The sequence below is a fragment of the Homo sapiens genome, chromosome 16, assembly GCF_000001405.40.
Source record: "Homo sapiens chromosome 16, GRCh38.p14 Primary Assembly".
Lineage (NCBI taxonomy): Eukaryota > Metazoa > Chordata > Mammalia > Primates > Hominidae > Homo > Homo sapiens.
In genome coordinates, this window is record NC_000016.10 from 75,908,518 (window position 1) to 75,929,828 (window position 21,311).

Here is a 21,311-nt window from a genome sequence, read left to right on the forward strand (position 1 = left end):
TGCGACGAGCAGAGTTATTAGACTTACACCATTTAGCAGAAGGTCTGATACGCGTCAGTAGTCCCTGAGGACATTACTGTGTTACCTACGGGTCTAATAATTCATCTCACAAACAAAGACAATGAATAATCTAGCGAATGCTAAATTATGTTTTGCATAGACTGTTTCAGAAAGCAGAGGTTCAGTTAACATATTTTACAAAATTTTCATTAACATCTTGTCATGTTTGAGATTTCTCAGCATACAACACGATTTGATCCAGAATCCCCACGACACTGTGGCATATGTCTGAGATGATGTAGGAGCAATGGAAATGCACTGCTAAGATCTCCATCAAGAGAACCCGCTGCTGATAGCACCGTTGACTGACAGCACCAGCTGCCACCACTTGGGTTCCTCCCTTGCATTCATGCTGAGACCATGCTTCTCCTGGGCTGCTTTCAGTCAATGACTGAGCATGGTGGGGGCTATTACTATAGGTCCATTTTTGCCTAACTCAGAAGTCCTTTAACAAGCAGCTTTTGATCAGGGACACTTCATTGGCCTGGTTGAAGTTTTTGCAAAAGTGGGCTGTGGAATGTGGAATGTGGAATTCTTCCTTCCCTCTTTTCTTCCACAGCTATCATCCTGCCTCACTGTCTGAGGCTCTCTCAACTTTCTTCTACTCCATTCCTTTTTATCTGTCACAGGCATTTCCCCCAGTAAACAGCCTGTGTATCTAACCTTGAATTGGCTCTGTGTCTAGGAAGAATCAAACTGTCAGAGACAGGCACTGAGAAGATCAGTTGAGAACACTCCTTGAGAACTCAATTGGGTCTTCTCGTTTTCCATTTCAAAAAGGCGGTAAGAGAATTAAATCAGCAAAGAGTGAATTATCATGCTAAGTTCTCAAAAAAGGCTTGATTCTTGGTGAAGACAGCCAGGGGACTCTGAAACTTCGCTTTGGATTTATGCATACGGTTAACTCTCATTGCAGGGCCGGTGGTATTTTGAATTTATTACTTTCTGATTGGGCATTACTTTTTTTTTTTCTTAGGGCACAAAGGACTATCTTGAGTGACATGGTTTTCTAATACCTACAAGCTTTATATCTTTAATTACTCATCAGAGAAGGCAGGAAATAAAGTAGTTCCTAAGCATATACATATTTCAGGTATCTATTTCTGGAAAGAAGATTTTTACTTGTTTTTAATTTGTTTTTTCTTTTTGCTGATATCCTTTTGATTATTCACCCCCTTACAATTATCTCACCCTTTTGAGGTGGGCCTAGCTCTTGATGGTGGTGGGTAAGGCGCAAACAGAGTAGTCTGTGCAGCCACCTGCCACAACATGTAGCAACCCAAGCTGATGCAGAAAAGCTTCCTGGAGAGTGATCTCCATCCTGCTCAGGGTTCATCTTTAGCCCTCATGTGACAGTCCTGGCCGAAAGGAACTGGGTGAGTCAATGTACTTTAGGATATCCTGTCTTAGTTGTTGTGGTTAAAAACCTCACCTGCAAAAGAAACAGCAGGCTGGCACCATGTCTGAGACATATATAAGTTCTCTGGCTGAACACATTTTCTGATAACTGGATAACAGAGTCATGGCTTGTCAATATGACTCCAGCCATTATCATTGACACAAAATCCTTTCTAAACTTCACCCTATCTCCTCCCTCCTTTTGGGGTCTTAAGACTTCCAGGGCCACACATTCCCGACCTATTTTTCATGTCTGCATCTTCAAGATGTAGATTGAGTCATGTCTAATTCTATTTGAATAAGTTTTATTTCTTCAAAGCAAATCCATCAAACCAGATATGTCTCATTGTGTAACAGTACAGAGATTTTGGTAATGTGTATTTTCTATGTATACATTTCTTAATATAACTTTGTATTTTAATAAAATAAATGTCCTTACTGATCTTGTCAGGATATTCAAATTTAGCTTTATTTTTTCTTTTATCATGAGCAGTAAGTATATGCAGACTCTATTTGCAATACTGTAATAGTGATGTATACCCTTAAATTCTCAATGTTTCCTTTGGGGCAAGAATAAAATGTATTTTCTTTTTAGCATTTTGGTGCTATACTCATGCAGACAAGGACAAGCATTCAAAACCTGGTGCAAAAGTCATCCATCTTGAGTTGAAGGACAAAAAAGAAAGCATATAGCAGTTACATATTAAAAAATCAGAAATTATACTTCCTAACACTTTGGCCAACATGTTTTAAATACATATTTGGTATGATAACATATGGCCCAGAACATCATTGTTTCTAGGATGGGATTAGAAAAGGAAAGGTTGCTCAAACTGGGAAAGATATATATATGTGTGTGTGTGTGTGTATGTGTGTGTGTGTGAGTATATCTATATCTATCTATCTATCTATCTATCTATCTATCTATCTATCTATCTATATTTGAGATGGAGTCTCGCTCTGTCACCCAGGCTGGAGTACAGTGGCACGATCTTGGCTCATTGCAGCCTCTACCTCCTGGGTTCAAGTGATTCTTCTGCCTCAGCCTCCCGTGTAGCTGGGATTACAAGCATGCGCCGCCACGCATGCCTGGCTAATTTTTGTATTTTTAGTAGAGAGGGAATTTCACCATGTTGGCCAGGCTGGTCTTGAACTCCTGACCTCAAGTGATCTGCCTGCCTCGGCCTCCCAAAGTGCTGGAATTACAGGTGTGAGTCACCATGCCCAGCTGAGATTGATTTTTAAAACTGATACTAGAACAGGTAAGAGAAGGGTTAGTATAATTGGAGTTAAAGTGAGAAAACGCAAGCCTGACCCCATGATTTTAAAAAGGTCAAGCTACCCCTGTTGTGACCCTCATTCCAAGTACTATTCAAGTGAAACAATCTCAGGGATGTAGCTGGCACCAATGACCTTTTTGTTCTCCTTTAGTGAAAGAAATCTAGGCACCTTCGGCTGGGCTTGGTGGCTCACGCCTGTAATCCCAGCAGTTTGGGAGGCCGAGGCGGGTGGATCACCTGAGGTTGGGAGTTCGAGAGCAGCCTGACCAACATGGAGAAACCCTGTCTCTACTAAAAATACAAAAAATTAGCTGGGCGTGGTGACTCATGCCTGTATTCTCAGCTACTCAGGAGGCTGAGGCAGGAGAATCGCTTGAACCCAAGAGGCGGAGGTTGTGGTGAGCCGAGATCGTACCATTGCACTCCAGCCTGGGCAACAAGAGCAAAACTCCATCTAAAATACACACACACACACACACACACACACACACACACACACACACACACACACACACAAAAGAAATCTAGGCACCTTCAAAAGTAGCTGGCTCTAAATCTTGGAGTAGAAAGAAACAGGAAAAGCCTCCATTTATTTTGTTTTTTTTTTTTTCATAATGTAATTAGAATTTTAAGGATCTGCTGAGATGTAGAAAACAGAAAAAAAAGGATCAGACTTAGGTGTTACAGGGATCTTCCCCTTATCCACAGTTTGCTTTCTGTAATAGTTTGTTATCTGCCATCAACTGTGGTCTGAAAATACTAAATGGAAAATTTCCGAAATAAACAATTCCTAAGTTTCTGATTGCACATCCTTCTGAGTAGTGTGATGAAATCTTGCACTGTCCCGTTCTGTTTCCAGCGTATCTGTGCTGCATACACCATTTGCCTGTTAGTCACTTAGTGGCCATCTCTGTTATTAGGTTATCAGATTTACAGATCACAAGAAGGGTGAGTACAGTACAATTAGTTATTTTGAGAGAGACAGACCACATTCCATAACTTTTAGCATGGTATATTGTATAATTGTTCTATTTTATTTTTAGTCATTGTTAGTCTGTTACTGTGCCTAATTTATAAATTAAACTTTATCATAGGTATGTATGTATAGGAAAAAAAGAAATATATTTAGAGTTCAGTACTATCCAGGGTTTCAGGCATCTACTGGGGGTTTTGGAATGTATTCCCTGAGGGTAAGGGGGACTACTGTAGTGAGAGATGTAAAGAGAATTCTCAAAGGATCTTCTTAAAAATCTCTGCTTAATTTCAGAATTGCTTGGTTTTAAAACAACATTTATTGGCTGGGCTTTGAGGCTTATGCCTGTAATCGCAGCACTTTGGGAGGCAGAGGTGGGCGGATCACTTGAGGTCAGGAGTTCAAGACCAGCCCGGCCAACATGGTGAAACCCCATCTCTACTAAAAATACCAAAAATTAGGCCGGATGCAGTGGCTTACACCTGTAATCCCAGCACTTTGGGAGGCCAAGGTGGGCGGATTGCCTGAGGTCAGGAGTTCAAGACCAGCCTGGCCAACATGGTGAAACCCTTTCTCTGCTAAAAATACAAAAATTAGCCGGTCGTGGTGGCACATACCTGTAATCCCAGTTACTCGGGAGGCTGAGGCAGGAGAATTGCTTGAGCCCAGGAGGCGGAGGTTGCAGTGAGCTGAGATCGTGCCACTACACTCCATCCTGGCCGACACAGCGAGACTCTGTCTCAAAAAAAAAAAAAAAAAATATTAGCCAGGGTGGTGGCACATGCCTGTAGTCCTAGCTACTCGGGTGGCTGAGGGACAAGAATCACTTGAACTTGGGAGGCTGAGGTGGCAGTGAACTGAGATCGTACCACTGCACTCCATCCTGGGAGGCAGAGTGAGACTCTGTCTAAAAAAAAAAAATTAAATAAGTATAAGTAAAAATAAATAACATTTATTAAGCCACATTTTGTAAATGTTCTTGGCCTTGCACCTGGTCTTTAAAGTTTTAAAATTTGAATGTATATTCTATGAAGGTGCTCTGGATTATGCTTTGTTTTGCTTTGCCTCTCCAGAAAACAATACATGCAAGTTGTTTTAGAAAATGTTCTACTATCATTTATTTTATTGTTTGCTTATTTTGATTTTATCGTCTTTCTCCCATACCTTCAAGTCTAATTGCTAATTATCCTTTCCTCAGATTCTTAAGATGAAAACAAAGTTGATATCTCACTCACTTCGATTTGATGCACTTTACCTTCCATAGCAAATATTTATTACATCCGTAAGTATCATATACACTATAAACCTAATTGTCATTACAAACTGGAAGTGTGCATTATCTATTGTCTTAACAAGATTACTTTGAATTATTGTTTTCTTCTATCTTTTGTGAAAGCATGTTATTTGTCTCTCTAAAACTTGTCAGATAGTGTTGTTTTAACTTAAACACCTTGGAATTTTTTGGTAGACATGAACACTTTTCACTTTAGCATGAAAAAAATCTCACTCCCGATCTGGGAATATTCTTAAGCAATTACTCTGATTAAAAGACAATTTAGTTAAATTATCTTGCTTTTTGCCCTCTGTGTTGGCTGATGATTTTTCACGACTGAACATATCCCCCTGTCACCCCAACTCAGATCAAGATCGAGACTTTACCAGCCACCCCTTCTCCTGTTCACTAGTTGCCTTCTCCTAGTTACCATCACCTCAAGTTAAGCACTTCCCTGACTTCTACAATTATAAATTAGTTTACCTGGCTTAAAAAAATTTATTTAATGTATATTTTTACCTGGCTTTTATTTACTCAGTGCTATGTTTGGTAGATTTATTTTTGCTGTTCTACAACAAAATATCCTCCCTATCTGAGAATATTCCACTGCATGAATATTTACTTATGCAGCTATTGATAGACATCTGGGTGGTTTCTTGTTTCTACTAAGCTAAACATATGCACCCCCTTTAGCCCAGCAATTTTATTGCAGGTATATAACCAACTGAAACGTTTATGCATATTCACTAAAAGACAGCTATTAGAATGCTTATAGTAGCAATATTTGTACTATCCTTAATGTACATTACTACCTGCATTATATGGATATTTGTATTTTGCAGAACCATTTTGCATGTGTGATTCTGTGAGACATATAAATAAAACCTGTTTATCTTTTAAAAGGCAAACAGACGCTTTACACCAATGGTCTTTTAATTCTCATTCCAGGACAAGACAAAGGCAACGGGCAGAAAAGTGTACAGCCATTTCTGTCACACTGAGAATCAAGCCTGGATTGCCTCCAGTGAGAAGATGATACAGGACTATTATAAGGACAAGATTTTTCAGGATAAGACACAGTTCTCATGTGTTCAGACAGATTGCTTTTCAAATCACTCTGTATAGGGATGGGTTAAACCCAGCTCTAAAATAAATATTTATATGCCCTAAAGTTTCCAACTAGGAAGGCGGAAAGGCTCAGATATCAATGACCAGCATGGGCAGTGACATGGGTGAAATGTGGTGTTGCTGGCATCAAATTTTCTCAGCTTTCAACTATTCTCTGTTTTTCTAGAGGATTGAATACATCCTGATATTTGAGAACCAGTTGTTAGGCAATGCATTTGAATTATTAATAAGAATGAAGAGGTAACCATGGCAAGAGAGGAAAAAAATAAAACTAGCTCTCCAGGTTGCGGAGATGGTACCTGCAAACTGCTAAGATACATAAAAGCAAGGGAATACAACTTAGAGCATAGATGCTTAAATGCACTTCCTTTCTCTCATCCACTACCTTAAAGGTAGCAATTATGCTTTATGTGTCCATGATAACAAATGTCTTCTCCATTCATCTGTGGCTAGTAGCTTACAAGGCAAAGATTGCACACAAGGTGACAGGTTTGCTCTCCTCCCTTCCCCACCCCCACTCCCGCACATCCCCCTGTAAGAGGGACCTCTCATCCACGTCTCCCAGAGATTACTGCAATTAGCATGTTTCCTATCAACCCTTCCTGTAAATCTTTGGTTCAAGGAAGTTTCCTTCCATCCCTCACCTAGAAGAAAGTAGACAAAAACACAGGCTCAGCACTTTCCAAGTCAAAAAATATAGTCAGGTCCTCACCAAACATGGGCAATTCTCTGCTCTTTATCTATGCATTTCCTCAACCTTACATTGACTCAAGGAAGATATGCTTCCCCTTAGGAGAGCCAAGTGAGTTAAAAACCATTGTCATAGTGTGCCCAAGTGTGAAAATTATTAAAGTACCCTTTTGTACAGCTCCTGGATGAGAGGAGACAATAGCTGGTGGGGCTGGAGTGCAGGTCTTTAATCTTCTATAGGAGTCACCCGTAAAATTTGATTCGTTCAATAGAAGGGGTGCTGGAGTACCTGCTAGAAGTCAGGCCCACCCTGTGCTCTGTACTTGTCTGTACTTGACACACATTTCTCTTGAGGGCCTTTTTTTTTTTTTTTTTTGGTGGACTTTCACTCTTGTTGCCCAGGCTGGAATGCAGTGGCGCGATCTCGGCTCACTGCAATCTCTGCCTTCCAGGTTCAAGCGATTCTCCTGCCTCAGCCTCCCTAGTAGCTGGGATTACAGGCACCCGCCACCAGACCCAGCTAATCTTTTTGGAATTTTAGTAGAGACGGTGTTTCACCATGTTGGCCAGGCTGGTCTTGAACTCCTGACCTCAGGCGATCCGCCTGCCTCGGCCTCCCAAAGTGCTGGGATTACAGGCATGAGCCACCGCACCCGGCTGTCTTGAGGGCCTTTTGGACTTAGGAGGAATCCAGATCACATAGAGAGATATTCCGTTGTAGGGTAGAGTAACACACAGGGAACACTGAGATGAGGGGTCCTCCTTCTTGCCTAAACAAGTCAGGAAACATTTGCTGAGGAGGGGGCCTTGAATGTGGCAGGGGATCTACAATGCTGTCCACCCTGCTGGTGATAACTCCTTGAAAGCTTATAGCCTTGTTACCTTGCTCACCAAACTACAATGGATCCCCAGAATAATAAATCCAAATTCTTTTGATGGCAACTGAACACCCTAATTACCATTCAGCATGGTTCTCTTGCTCTTCCCTTCAAGCAATACTAGTTTCTATTCCTCCTGCTTATCCTTCCTCCTGTGCTGCCATTTAAAATGTATATTTTTCCAACTGCCGCTTATTCAAATCCTCTATTTTCTTTCGTAGTCCAGCTAAAGGCTTACTTTCTCCAAGAAACATCTGGTTTCATACACATATTTCTTTCACTATACCTTCCGCCTCTATTGCAATGTCATAAATTTGTTCTGATGTTATTTTGAAATAGTTTCTGTTGTGTAAGAGTACCTTGTCTCCCTACAGGGATAAAATTCCCAAAGACAATAAATTCAGAGTTCTAGCAGATAGTTCAAAGAGCAGGAGGTTATGAGAGAGAGTACCTCCCCTCCCTGATCCTCAACTCTCAGGCTGAGCTGTTCTCTGGATAGTGCAGCAGCTAAAGTCTTGGTTTCAATGAAGATACGTTTCCCTATCCCCAGAACCTGTGCGGAGGAGCGGTCCTCTAATGCGGTGTTGGTGAAGAAGGATTCGAGAGGGAAATACCAGGAAGCCCACAGCTCCATTTCCCCTCCCAGATTCTACAGATGCAGGGTGGGTGGTCTCTAGGGAGACTTCTCCGGAACTAAGATGTATTAGTTCCGAGGACTGCCGTTACAAACACACAAACTTGGTGATTTCATAGAAGTTTGTTCTTGTATAGTCTAGAGCCCAGATGTCCAAAATCAAGGACCATGCTTCCTCCAGAAGCTCCACGGAAGAATCCGCTGCATACCTTCTCCTGGCTCCTGGTAGCTGCTGGCTGTCCTTGGTGGACTCTGGCTTATGGCTGCATTACTCCAATCTCTGTCTCCTTGATCATATTGCCTCTTTCTCTTCTCTCTGTCAAATAAATCTCCCTTACGCATCTCTTATAAGGGAACATCATTGGATTTAGGGCCCAACCAGATAGTCCAGGATGACCTCTTCATCTAACAGTCCTTCATTTAATTACATCTGCAAAGACCCTTTTCCAAATAGAGTCACATTCAGAAGGTTCTGGGAATTTGGACACGAACCTTTTTGCAGGCCATCATTCAACACCCACTACATCAGGTTTCTGACAGTACCATGGTAATCGAATTCTCTGAATTTTCCTCTAACCATGGTGATTTACGAAGCATACTCATCATTCAGCTTAAGTATGACAAATAATAAAGTCACTTTCTGCTCCTGAGTTATTGGCTGAAATTTATACAGGGAGCATTTGCAAAGTGCTTTCACGAAAAAAAAAAGATAAACTAACTCTGCCCTCAAGGATATTATAATCCAGTAGGAAAAGTAAATATGTACACAAGTTTAGGAGAGTTGAATGAAGGTGAAAAACACAATACTGTGAAGCAAGATTGGGGAGAGAATAAAAGCTGTTCCTTTTCTCTCTCTTTCTTCCCCCACAGCACTCTTGCTGGCATGCATTCAAACACCTTATGCACATCACAACTGTCCCATTAGCTGATGCTTTAGGTCACTTCTTTTGGCTGAAGGCCAATGGATACCCTTTGATAAATGTGACTTTCTGGAGTTCCCATGAGCCCCAAATCTGAACCTGTCATACAGAAAATTTATATTAAATATATGGCAAATGCCTCAAAAAACTCAAAGAAAAGCCAAAGTGAATAATACTATTTTTTCAGATTTATTTTCTTTAGTAATGTGAGTCTATGGATAATTTTATATAAAGAAGATATATATTATGTGCAATAAATACATATAAAGGACATATAAATGATATATATGCATAATGTCTACTCTTTATAGAGCTTCTGTTGCCTGTATTTTATACAGGACTGGAAATAGATACACATGCAATATTATCTACCACTAAAAATTTTTAGCAATTTTAACTTCTCCTTTGTGGGAGCTTTCAGATTTCCATTTCTGTCTTTATCCACAATTCTGTGCCTTTATCCATGCAAAAGTAACATTAAATCACTTTCACATAAGGACTTAGCTTCCACTGCCAGCTCGGGGTCAACAGTCAGGGCTGGGATGGAAAGAAGTGCTGATTAATAGGGCTTTAAAGACTGGTTCAGATGTCTTAACACAAAGACAAATATCTGAAATGGTTCCACATTTTTTCAGTGGCTCAGAACTTCATTTACAATCATTACTTCTAGCCAGATTACATTGGACTACAATTTCCCAGTGACAAAGGCATGTTTCCTTAAGTTTCTTTTTGCCCTTCAAGGACAATCCAAGGAGACAGTTAATTCATTATAGATATACAGAAAGAGCATAAGGAAACGGGGAAAGGGACAGTCTCCTTAGAGAATCTGGGAGAACATAACGGATTGTACATTATATTTAAAGAGCAGACAGAAGGAGGAGCATAGTGGAATGCCTTAATAAACACGATGGGCTGCTTGAAAAAGAAGGTGGCTTCATCCTACATGGGTACAGATTTTTTCACAAAGCATTTCTGTTTTTAAAGGACTTATCTTTCTAACCCTGAGAGGTTAGCACAAGTTAAATAAGAAAATCTTATTCATCAAAGTCAAAATGAGAGTATCTATAGATTCTATGCCTTGTCCCCTACCCCAGTTCCTCATATACAGAGTGCTTCCTAAGAGGAAAATGACCTAAAGTGGTAGAATTTTTTCATTTTTGAGGCAAAGTTTTGTTCTTGTCGCCCAGGCTGGAGTGCAGTGGGGCAATCTCAGCTCACTGCAACCTCCATCTCCTGGGTTCAAGCGATTCTCCTGCCTCAGCCTCCTGAGAAGCTGGGATTACAGGTGCCTGCCACCACGCCCAGCTAATTTTTGTATTTTTAGTAGAGACGGGGTTTCGCCTTGTTGGCCAGGATGGTCTCAAACTCTTGACATTAGGTGATCTGCCCACCTCGGCCTTCCGAAGTGCTGAGATTACAGGTGTGAGCCACTGCATCTGGCCAGTAGAATTTTGTTTAATGAATTGCTCTCACTGTCTCATAAATTAAAAGGCACCGTATTGTCAGTTTATCAAACTATCAACATGGATTGAGATGCAGTTCTCATATGCCTGCTGGATTTGAGTTGTTAGCTCAAGGCTGATTATCTAACAATTATTTCAGTGAAAGCAAAGCCCAGGAGCTATAGATTCCGAGAATCTATCCTTCAGAAAGGCCAGCAGAATACTGCTTTGTGAGAGTGCTGTGTTTCCTCAGCCACCCCACTCAGAGCAAAGCTTTTGGTAGCAGCTCTCTGTTAACTACAAAGCAATAATTTGAAGAATATGTAATAAAAAAATCAATGTGTCTACCTATGTTAAAAAAATTCAGTCTGCTCTTTCCCTATTGAATTTTTCTGAAGAAGGAAACTTGTGGTGCAAAGGAGGACTCTAATTTTTAGCAAAATATCTATAATACAGCATGTCCAAGTCTGCAAACTTGTTTTTAAACTGATACCAATTCACATATACATGTTTTTCCAAAGAATGCTTATCAATTTATTTGTCCTTTGGATCTAAGTGAGGGGCATTCCACAGAGACGTGGAAAGTGGAAAAGAAACAGAGCCAATAATTCTCATGTAGCAATAGTGGACAGAGTGAGGGTTTTAGCAAATGGCAGACCTGACAATTTGCCAGGATTTCAGAATGTTCTCCCGCGTATCGTCAGCTTCAGGAATGTAGGCAAACGGATTTGCTGGCAGAGGTGCCTTAAAATTCCTGAACTTACTAGAGATATTTTCTCCTTTGACCCCTTCATTCATTTTGAAAACCTTTAATTCCCTATTTAATTCCTACTCAGCTTGAAATACCTAGTGTGATTTCCATTCTCTTTACTAAATTTCAACCAATTGAGTAAGGAATAAAAATTATTCTCAGATCAACTGCTATGATGTTTAAAATGTGAAACTGTAAATTTTATTTAACTCAAACAACTATGGTGACAATTAATGTTTCTACTAAGTTAGATAATTGTGGTCATTTCCAAACATACTTCATCCTCTGACACAATCAGGAATCATGTGATCATGTGATTGGCTGATTGACCTGCATCCATTTGACCACGGGGCTCTGTACCTCACATAGACCACATCACTGAATGTTGACATGATTCCATCAATCATTTAATATAATCTTCAGTTTATATTTGAGGACATCAAGGCTTAGAGATGTAGCATGACTTGTTTCACAGCCAGGAAGGATGGGAATTTGAAATCAAATCAGATACTGTGTTAATGTCCAAACCCCCAACCCTTCCTGCCACATTAACTGACTTTTTTACCATAGCTAGTAAGTAATGTTGGAGAGTGATCATTATGATCATTTTTGATAATCAACATAAGGTAACGTTATACAAACCAACCACTGCACCAACCAACTATACAATGGTATAGTTGTATACCATTCGTATACCAACACTATACAATGTTTTGTGACAGCATCAGCATTCTTAGTCTTTGCCAGACATTGTGGAAGTTTGCCCAGCCAGTTTTTGGTAGTAGATATGTGTTTTCAGAAATGCCATGAGAGCCGACACCATGGATGCCAGGAGAAGGGGCTCTGAAGAGTCAGGAAAGCTCTAACAAGGGGCTGACTAAAGGATCTGGATTTAGCGGCCAGGCACAGTGGCTCACACCTGTAATCCCAGCACTTTGGGAGGCCGAGGCAGGCAGATCAGCTGAGGTCAGGAGTTTGAGACTAGCCTGGCCAACATGGTGAAACCCCCTCTGTACTAAAATACAAAAATTAGCCGGGCGTGGTGGTGGATGTCTGTAATCCCAGCTACTTGGGAGGCTGAGGCATGAGAATCGCTTGAACCCAGGAAGTGGTGGTTGCAGTAAGCCAAGATCGCGCCGATCTGGATTTAAAACAACAACAAACAACAACAACAACAACAGCAGCAGCAGCAACCACAAAAACATTACTTCCCAGATCTCATTTCACTAGAAGACATACTCCCTGTATTCTCTTGGGTCTTCCATGAAACATACATATCGACATATTTTCTTCCAAGGACTATCAGTTCCATCAACTTCCTTAATGCAATTCTGGAAAATTTGAGGCTCTTACAGGAAAGACATGCTTTTGTTTTTTTGCTGGGAACATTGCAGCAGAAGAGCTTTCTGTCTGGCAGGCTCCCTACTCAAAAGATGCCCACTGGACTTCACAGTGAGAGGTTTGGCTTCACCTGGGGGCAGGAAATCGTATCACTAGCAATTTTCCCTGCCAGTCCTTCTACATGACAAAGCACATATGGATGCAAATAAGCTAATCCTTCTCTGGAAGAGCAAGCTGCACCTGGAAGTCAGCTCATAGGCGTGCCAGATGGAGAAGATGTGATTGTGAGGTACCTGGGGGACTGCCACAAAACAGACTGGGAAAATCCCCACCTGGGCTGCCTGAGATAACACCTAATCATCTACTGGGATAATTGGCCTCTGAAAGGGTTACATGCTAATAATAGAATCAAGTCACTAGCTTATTAAACTCTTAAAAGGTTAGGAATATTTGACTATGGATTAGGGAATTCCTGACGATGAAAAGCCATCAAAGTTCAAATACATTAAAAACATGTAAGTCTACAGGAAGATATTGTGAATCCTGTTGGGTGGGAAAAAATATACTTAGGGAAAGGTCACCTCTCAAATAATAGAATAGGGAATTTCCATGTAGAGTCCGATGGATCTTGGCAAAAATTTGGAATGTCCCCCAACTATCACCAAACCACCAAAATAGTGATGTTGGTACAGAATATCAATAAAAACAGAAAAATATTCCTACTATAGTTGGTCAATATGTGGTCTAACTCAGTTTCCAAAACATACCCTCTTTTATTTCTCTGTCTACCGTGAATTTCTTAATGACAAGAGGTGGTTTTAAAATATGTCTGCGATATCATTGATAGCCCTCCCATCAAAAGATGGGAGTCTCTCCTTTCACCCCTTGGATATTAGTGACTTGCTTGTAACCAGTTAGGATGCAGGGGAAGTGGTGTTGAGTGACTTCAAAGGCTAAGGGAGGAAAGAAGATGCAGTTTCTATCTGGTTCTCTTGGGATCCTCACTCTAGAGGAATTTAGCCTTCATCTAATAAATGACTACCCTGAGATCCCTATACTGGAGAATGTACAAGAAGAAATTCTTACCTGTAGCCCTAGCCACGGTTCTAGCTTATTACCAGCTTAACTCCCAGTCATGTGAATAATCACATCTTGTACAGCTCATCCAGTCAAGCTTTTAGATGACTGCAAGCCACAACCAGCATCTGATTGCAACTGCATGAGAGATCCCAAACGAGAGCTGCCTAGTGAGGCTATTTCCAAATTCCTGAACCACAGAAGTGCGGATAAATAAAATAGTGGTTGGTTTACACCACTAAATTTTAGAGTAATTTATTACACAACAGTAGTAACTGGAAAAATCTATGAAAAGCATTTTTTTTTACAATTTCTCCAAATTTCCAAGTAATAATAGCTAACATTTTAAAATACTCTTACAGTTGATAAAGTACAATCATATAGATTATCTCATTTGATTTTTATAAATATCATGTGAAGAAGTATAATTGTCATGAATCCCTGAGACAGAGACAAATGCTTAATATACCAAACAGGGCTAAGATCCATGTCATTTTACTCCAACACAATGGCCTTTGACACTGTGCTGTCTCTCAAATGTGGCAAAATATTTTAAGTAGTTAAAAATTGTTTCTATTAAAAAACACTAGTTGATAATAGAAAAACTAACAGCATTGGTTCTTTGCTTGTTGTTTCCAGATTGACTATCTCTTTATACATTTATATGTTCTTATAAAATTTTAAAAAGACATAATAAAGCAATTCCTGGAGAGACTAGATGGCAGCCAATTCTTGCTTTTCCTTATGTTTGTAAATAACAGGGAGCTTTCTCTATAATTTTACTCTTGACATTATAAGGAACAGACCAAATTCAAGAATTGAAACAAAGTTGAATTTTAACCAGGCATGGAGAGACTTATATTTAATAATATCAACTCTCTGGATTTTACATCTTTAAACATATATTGAGAATTGATTAATTGAGGTCCTTAAAATTTAGAATTTGCTTAATCCTAAAAGAGTTTGCCAAATCTGGCATGCTGTCTAGGTAGTTTGAGTTCTCCTGTATTAAATTTTTACAATGGATAAATCAACAAAAACACATTTACTTTTTCCTGTTAAAGGCATTGATATGATGCAAAGAAGTATAAAATGTTCTGCCAGCCTTACAAAAGCTGACATTTTGATTGGGGGCCATTCAGAGATAACTTTGCATGATACAGAAGTACGCTGGATTAGGAATATATTTCCCTATGTACCTGAAAGAGGTGTCATACAGATTAAGAATAAAAATGCTTTGTAAGTCACAAAACATTAAGCAAATGCAATATGAAATATATGTGTAAATTAAAACAGGAAGTTTTATCCAAAATGGTGGTTGGATCCCATGGTGCTTCTGCTCAGTTTTTAGAAAGTTGTATCCTACTGGCTCGTTCCACAGTGAAGATGTTAAACTGTACCTTACTGTCTGATTCAAGAAGAGATGGTCCATTACTGGCTACTAACCCTTCTAATTACATATATCACATGGAAAGAAAAAAAAAAAGCCTTTTCTAAGAATTTCAATCAAGATAAACTTTAGTAAGATTCCAGGAAAAATTCACCATCTAGTAGGTGTCACCAAAATTCAAGGTTAAACTGAGGTTCATTAGCAGAGAGGATGCCTGATTAAAATGAAAAAAGACAAAAAGAATGATGAGATGCATAAACCTTGTCTACAAATTTCTTAGAGCAAATTACCAATGGTATATGAGAATAAACATTTACATACTCGATGATTGTTTTGAAGTCTTAATTTGCATGGTTATTTTTTTCTACGACCACAGGACATATTATGTTCCTGAGAACTAAACTGGAGAATTGGGTATAGTTCTTTTATACCAGGCATCTAATTTAATGCTATTAGGAAAATATTGTCAAGAAATATAATGGTCTCTTGAAACATGGGGAATACAGAAGAAAAGATGGCTTGTTCACTTGGATGTTTAAAAACAAACCAGTGTTCCAAATTGCCCTTCCTAAAGTGATTCAAAACACCAGCAAGAATGAGACACTGACTTTTATATTAAGACACCACGATCTCAGTATGACTTGCCACCATGTTGTACTGTAACCTTTTGGCCCACTTTTGACTTCAGTTTCTTTCCTATTTAAAATAGAAATATTCCTATTTCCTATTTAAAACAACAGTAGTGGAACTAATAACGTTAAAACAATTCTTATTGAGCACACAGTTCAGTGTGATGAAAAAATGGAAGTGACTAATTCAGGCAAAGTGGGGAAAAATACAAAGAAAAATAAACAAGAAAAATCTCTTACATAGTTTGGATATTTGTCCCTGCCCAAATCTAGTGTTGAATTGTAATCTCCAATGTTGAAGGTGGGGCTTGGTGGGAGGTGTTTTGATCATGGGGACAGATCCCTCATGCATGGCTTGGGCCATCCCCTTGGTGATGAGTGAGATCTCGCTCTGTGTTCACAGAGTTCTCGCTCTTGCTCCTGCTTTTGCCATGTGAAGTACCTATTTCCCATTTGCCTTCCACCATGAGTAAAAGCTTCCTGAGGCCTCCCCAGAAGCAGATGCCACTATGCTTCCTGCACAGCCTGCAGACCTCTGAGCCAATGAAACCTCTTTTCTTATAAATGATCCAGTCTCAGGTATTTCTTTATAGAAATGCAAGAACAGCTGAACACAATATCAGATATTGAAAAGTGCTATGAAGAGTACTATTTATAATATTGTAATAAAATACTGGTATGGAAATATAGCTGATCTTTGAGGTTTCTCAACCTTGGAACTATTGACATTTTAGACTAGATAATTCTCCGTCATGGAGGGTTTGTTTGTGCATAGGAGGATGTTTTGCAGCCTCCCTGGTCTTTACCCACTAGATGCCAGCACTGTGTCCCATCCAGTGGCCACCCAAAATGTCTCAAGACATGGCCAAATATCTTTGGAGCTATTTACCATTTATATTTACCACTTACCATTACCATGGAAAAAAAATCACTCGTAGTTGAGAACCACTGTGACTAGAGTCACTAGAGAATAACTTCCGGCACCAAATTTTATTTTATATCAGTAGTTTTGGGGATGAGTTCCTTTGTGGTGATTTCTGAGATTTCCATGCACCTGTCACCCGAGCAGTGTACACTGTACCCAATGTGTAGTCTTTTATCCCTCAACCCCCTTCCCACCTTTCCTCTCCAAGTTCAAAGTTCATTGTATCATTCTTATGCCTTTGCTTCCTCATAGCTTAGCTCCCACTTATAAATGAGAGCATATGATGTTTGGTTTTCCATTTCTGAGTTACTTCACTTAGAATAACGGTCTCCAACTCCATCCAGGTCAAGCACCAAATATGTTCTGATGCCAGAATATGACAACATTGTGTACTGAAGCTGTCTCATCCCACCTTTTCAAGAACCTTATAATTATAGTCTATAATTATAGATGCCATCCTCTTCTGTGCCCAGTTGTAAAACTTGCTGAGCTGTTTAACTCAGTAACATTCCAAACCTGTACTGGTTACGAATGGAAAATATCTTCAGACCCTGTAAAATAGATGACAAGGTGTTCTAAACTAGTGACACAGCTAAGAAACTCGATGAATAGAGCTTCTAAGCTGCTATCCAGAGGCCGACAGGAATGGTGTAGAGTTTCCCCAAATGAAAGCGCCCATCTGCACAGTCATAAAAGATAACCCATTACCATGGCAGGAAATCAAAACTGCAATAAATTTTAAGAAAGAAGAATGATGAAGGAGAAATGGTAGAAAATCTCCAGTGAGAAGATGCTCAGCACATAAAAAGGAAGAGAGCAGTTCAGGCCGTGACAGTTCTGCGCAGGGAATGACCTTGGGCTGTCTGCAGGTGAACCAGGGAACACTTGGAAAGCTGGTGAAAATATTTCAAGTGGTTCCAGGCATTAGTGTTTAGACAAGCCCTTCTCTCTTTCATTCAAATTATTTTCAAGTTAACTAGAAATAATGGCGAAGAAAATCTTTGTCTTTGATTCTGGCTGTAGAGAAATTCCATTTGGAAACTGTTAAGTAGCTCATGAAATTAAAACTCACATCTGAATTAAAAATCCCCACATTCCTTTATGTGTGCTAAATTGTAGGGCATATGCTATAGGAGATTTTTGCCCTAGAAACTTCAAAAACTCTAGGAAATATTTTTAGTAAGCATGAGAAGAAATAATTGAGCTATTAGATATTTATAATAAATAAAAATTGGTTATTATGAGTTACCTTTTCTAAGGTAACTGGTTCATTAGGCTCATATCTTACAGGGAATTGACATTCCTATCTCTCTGCTTATTATCTTCCAAAGTTATCTATATTGCTTATCTACTACGTTAATAAAATTAAAAAAACCAAAATATAAGCTGGGCATGGTGGCGCATGCCTGTAATCCCAGCTACTCAGGAGGCTGAGGCAGGAGAATCGCTTGAACCCAGGAGGCAGAGGTTGCGATGTGCTGAGATCACACCATTGCCCTCCAGCCTGGACAACAAGAGCAAAACTCCATCTCAAAAAAAGAAAACTAACAAACAAACAAACAAAATATAGAAATCTAGATTCACAAAACACAATGATAGAGCAATTTTTTCCCATTGTTTCAGAATAATCTACCACCTATTTCCCTTAAATAAAAAGTGCGGGTTGGAGGCTGGGCATGGTGGCTCACGCCTGTAATCCCAGTACTTTGGGAAACCGAGGCTGGTGGATCACAAGGTCAGGAGTTCAAGACCAGCCTGGCCAAGGTGGTGAAACCCCGTCTCTACTAAAAATACAAAAAAATTAGCTGGGCACGATGATGGGTGTCTGTAATCCCAGCTACTCAGGAGGCTGAGGCAGAGAATTGCTTGAACCCAGGAGGCTGAGGCTGCACTGAGCCAAGATCACGCCACTGCACTCCAGCCTAGGTGACAAAGCAAGACTCTGCCTCAAAAAAAAAAAAAAAAAAAAAAAAAAAAAAAGCGCAGGTTGGAAAGGGCATAGGAGTAAGGTGACCTGAAAACACATCCTCTACGATTTACCAGCTACGTGATTCTGTTAATTCATTCAACATTTCTCAGAATCACGTTTTTCATATATATGTTCAATATAATAATTATATATAGGTTGAGCATCTCTAATCCAAAAACTCAAAATCCAAAGTGCTCCAAAATCTGAAACTTTCTGAGTGCTAATATGACACTCAAAGGAAATGCTCATTGAAGCATTTTGGAGTTTTGGATCAGGATACTCAACCAGTAAAATGCAAATATTCTGAAATCCAAAATAATTTGAAATCTGAAATACTTCTGGTCCCAAACATTTTGGATAAGGAATACTCAGCCTGTATTATTCAGTGGGCAGCTGTGAAGACATAAAGAAATGGCCTAGAGGAAAATGCTTTGCAAACTGTTAAGTTCTACTGAGTGGTGGTATTGTTAGTATTGTATTATTGAATTAACATAAAATGTGACTATAACATGGTTTATGAAAAACTTTCAAGCATGAGTATGACCAAGAGGTCCTAAAGGTTTTCCTCAGCTTGATTAAACATTACACAGGCTTCTTCTTGAGGCACTGACTTCCCTTTTTTTAGAGGATTTTCTTTAGAAAACTTGCAGTCGGGCAAGTTTGTTCTCTGCCTCTTTAACATGTAAATCTCTTTAAAAGCCTGCTTCTATAACCCAGGAATACATTCTGCAAGGACCCAGGAGCCGTCGCTTTGAAATGTAAACATCAAGGGAGCTAGCACCCCTATCTCCAGTTTCTGTGAGAGGGTAGGAGTCTAACTTCCCTGGCCACTTTGCTCCAAGTTGTAAAACTACCTCCTATCATGAATATTAGAGAAAATTCACTTTTCCTTTGGCTAAGACCAGTGAACAAATACCGATGGCCTGTGATCCCCCTACACTTCAACTCTGAAAAACTCTCCTACTCTTTGTTTCAGGGGAGTTAAATTCAGATTTTAGTTCTGGCCTCTCTCCCATTGCAATAGCTTTGAATAAAGACTTCCTTGCTTACTTGATTTTATCCTGTGCAATTTTTGCATTGACATCTATATGCAAAAGAACAAAGATATACTGGGATTCATTTGCAGCAAAATTTAATAGCCTCTGGGACCCACTTGTGATTCAGCAAAATTTAACAGCCTCTGGGATCCACTTGTGTTTCCACCCTGGTTACATCATCACCACTCTCTAATAGATTGTAACCTCCTGGAGAAGAGGGACTAATCTAAAAACCGACAACATCTAACAATGATCTCTCTACAGAAGCATGTACTTGCATCTGTGAATCAACACTTAGATATTAATATCTTCAGTGCCTGAATCTACTTCAGTTTACATTTCAGAGTTTAACTTATTTGAAGCTGGAGGACATGAAATACTTCCTCAGGTAGCATGGTGAATGGGTGTCTCTACACTTTTCCCTATAATATTACATGTTGAAAAGCAGATTGCAAAATAAACGTACTTCAATGTAACCTTACAAAATGATTTTTAGAGAGGTATTACAATAGTTAGGTAAATGTACAAACCTCAAGAAATAGCAATATCAAACTTTTGTCAATATGAAATACAATTTAAACTTAGTTAATTTAACTCTAAAATGTTGTTGCTGCGAGATGCAGAAAGAATAGGTGTGACACAGAATCATGACAAATAAAAATATTTCTGTCTTAGGAAAAAAGATAGAGAATAGAAAACTCCTGTCTTAAAATCCTTCAGTAGTTTCCAATTATAGCAGTCCTTCCCTTATCCAAGGTTTTACTTTCCATGGTTTTGGCTACCAGCAGTCAATCATGGTCTGAAAATATTACGTGGAAAGTTCTAGAAATAAACAATTCATAAATTTTAAATTGCATCTGTTCTGGGTAGGGCAGGGTGCTGAAATTTCACACTGTCCTGCTCCATCTTACTGGGATGTGAATCATCTCTTGCCCAGAGTATCCATGTGGAATTCTCAACCCACCCATTAGTCACTTAGGAGACCTCTCAGTTATCAGATCAACCAGCATGGCACTGCAGTACTTGTGTTCAAGTAACCTTTATTTTCCTTAATTGTTCTATTTTGTTATTAATTATTGTTGTTAATCTCTTACTATGCCTAATTTAGAAATTAAACCCTATCATAGGTATGTATGTATGTATATACTGGAAAAACATAGCACATATAGGGCTTGGTTTCAGGCATCCACTGAGGGTCTTGGAACATATCCCCTGCCGATAAGGGGGGACTACTGTACATAAAGCATAAAGTACCATCCTGGCTAACACAGTGAAACCCCATCTCTGCTAAAAAAGTACAAAAAATTAGCCAGGCATGGTGGCGGGTGCCTGTAGTCCCAGCTACTAGGGAGGCTGAGGCAGGAGAATGGCGTGAACCTGGGAGGCGGAGCTTGCAGTGAGCTGAGATCGTGCCACTGCACTCCAGCCTGGGCAACAGAGCAAGACTCTGTCTCAAAAAAAAAAAAAAAAAAAGGCATAAAGTAAACTATCTTACCATACCAAAAACTTTGACCAA

At 39.5% G+C, this 21,311-nt stretch overlaps 1 long non-coding RNA gene across 1 annotated transcript in view, besides 2 other annotated features; it reads left to right on the forward strand.

Moving 5' to 3' along the window:
* Positions 1 to 6,155, forward strand: part of LOC105371348 (uncharacterized) — a 154,623-nt gene extending 148,468 nt beyond the window's left edge. Inside the window, exons 5-6 of the long non-coding RNA XR_933748.4 lie at positions 4,910 to 4,993; positions 5,933 to 6,155. This is a non-coding gene — a long non-coding RNA (uncharacterized LOC105371348). The remainder of the gene's footprint in view (positions 1 to 4,909; positions 4,994 to 5,932) is intronic.
* Positions 12,707 to 13,284: an enhancer, noted in NCBI's record as "OCT4-NANOG hESC enhancer chr16:75955122-75955699 (GRCh37/hg19 assembly coordinates)". NCBI's record gives its function as "activates a minimal SCP1, AML or CMV promoter by ChIP-STARR-seq in primed H9 embryonic stem cells {active_cell/tissue: H9 hESC(primed)}" and the evidence as "EXISTENCE:reporter gene assay evidence [ECO:0000049][PMID:30033119]".
* Positions 19,051 to 19,773: an enhancer, noted in NCBI's record as "OCT4-NANOG hESC enhancer chr16:75961466-75962188 (GRCh37/hg19 assembly coordinates)". NCBI's record gives its function as "activates a minimal SCP1, AML or CMV promoter by ChIP-STARR-seq in naive H9 embryonic stem cells {active_cell/tissue: H9 hESC(naive)}" and the evidence as "EXISTENCE:reporter gene assay evidence [ECO:0000049][PMID:30033119]".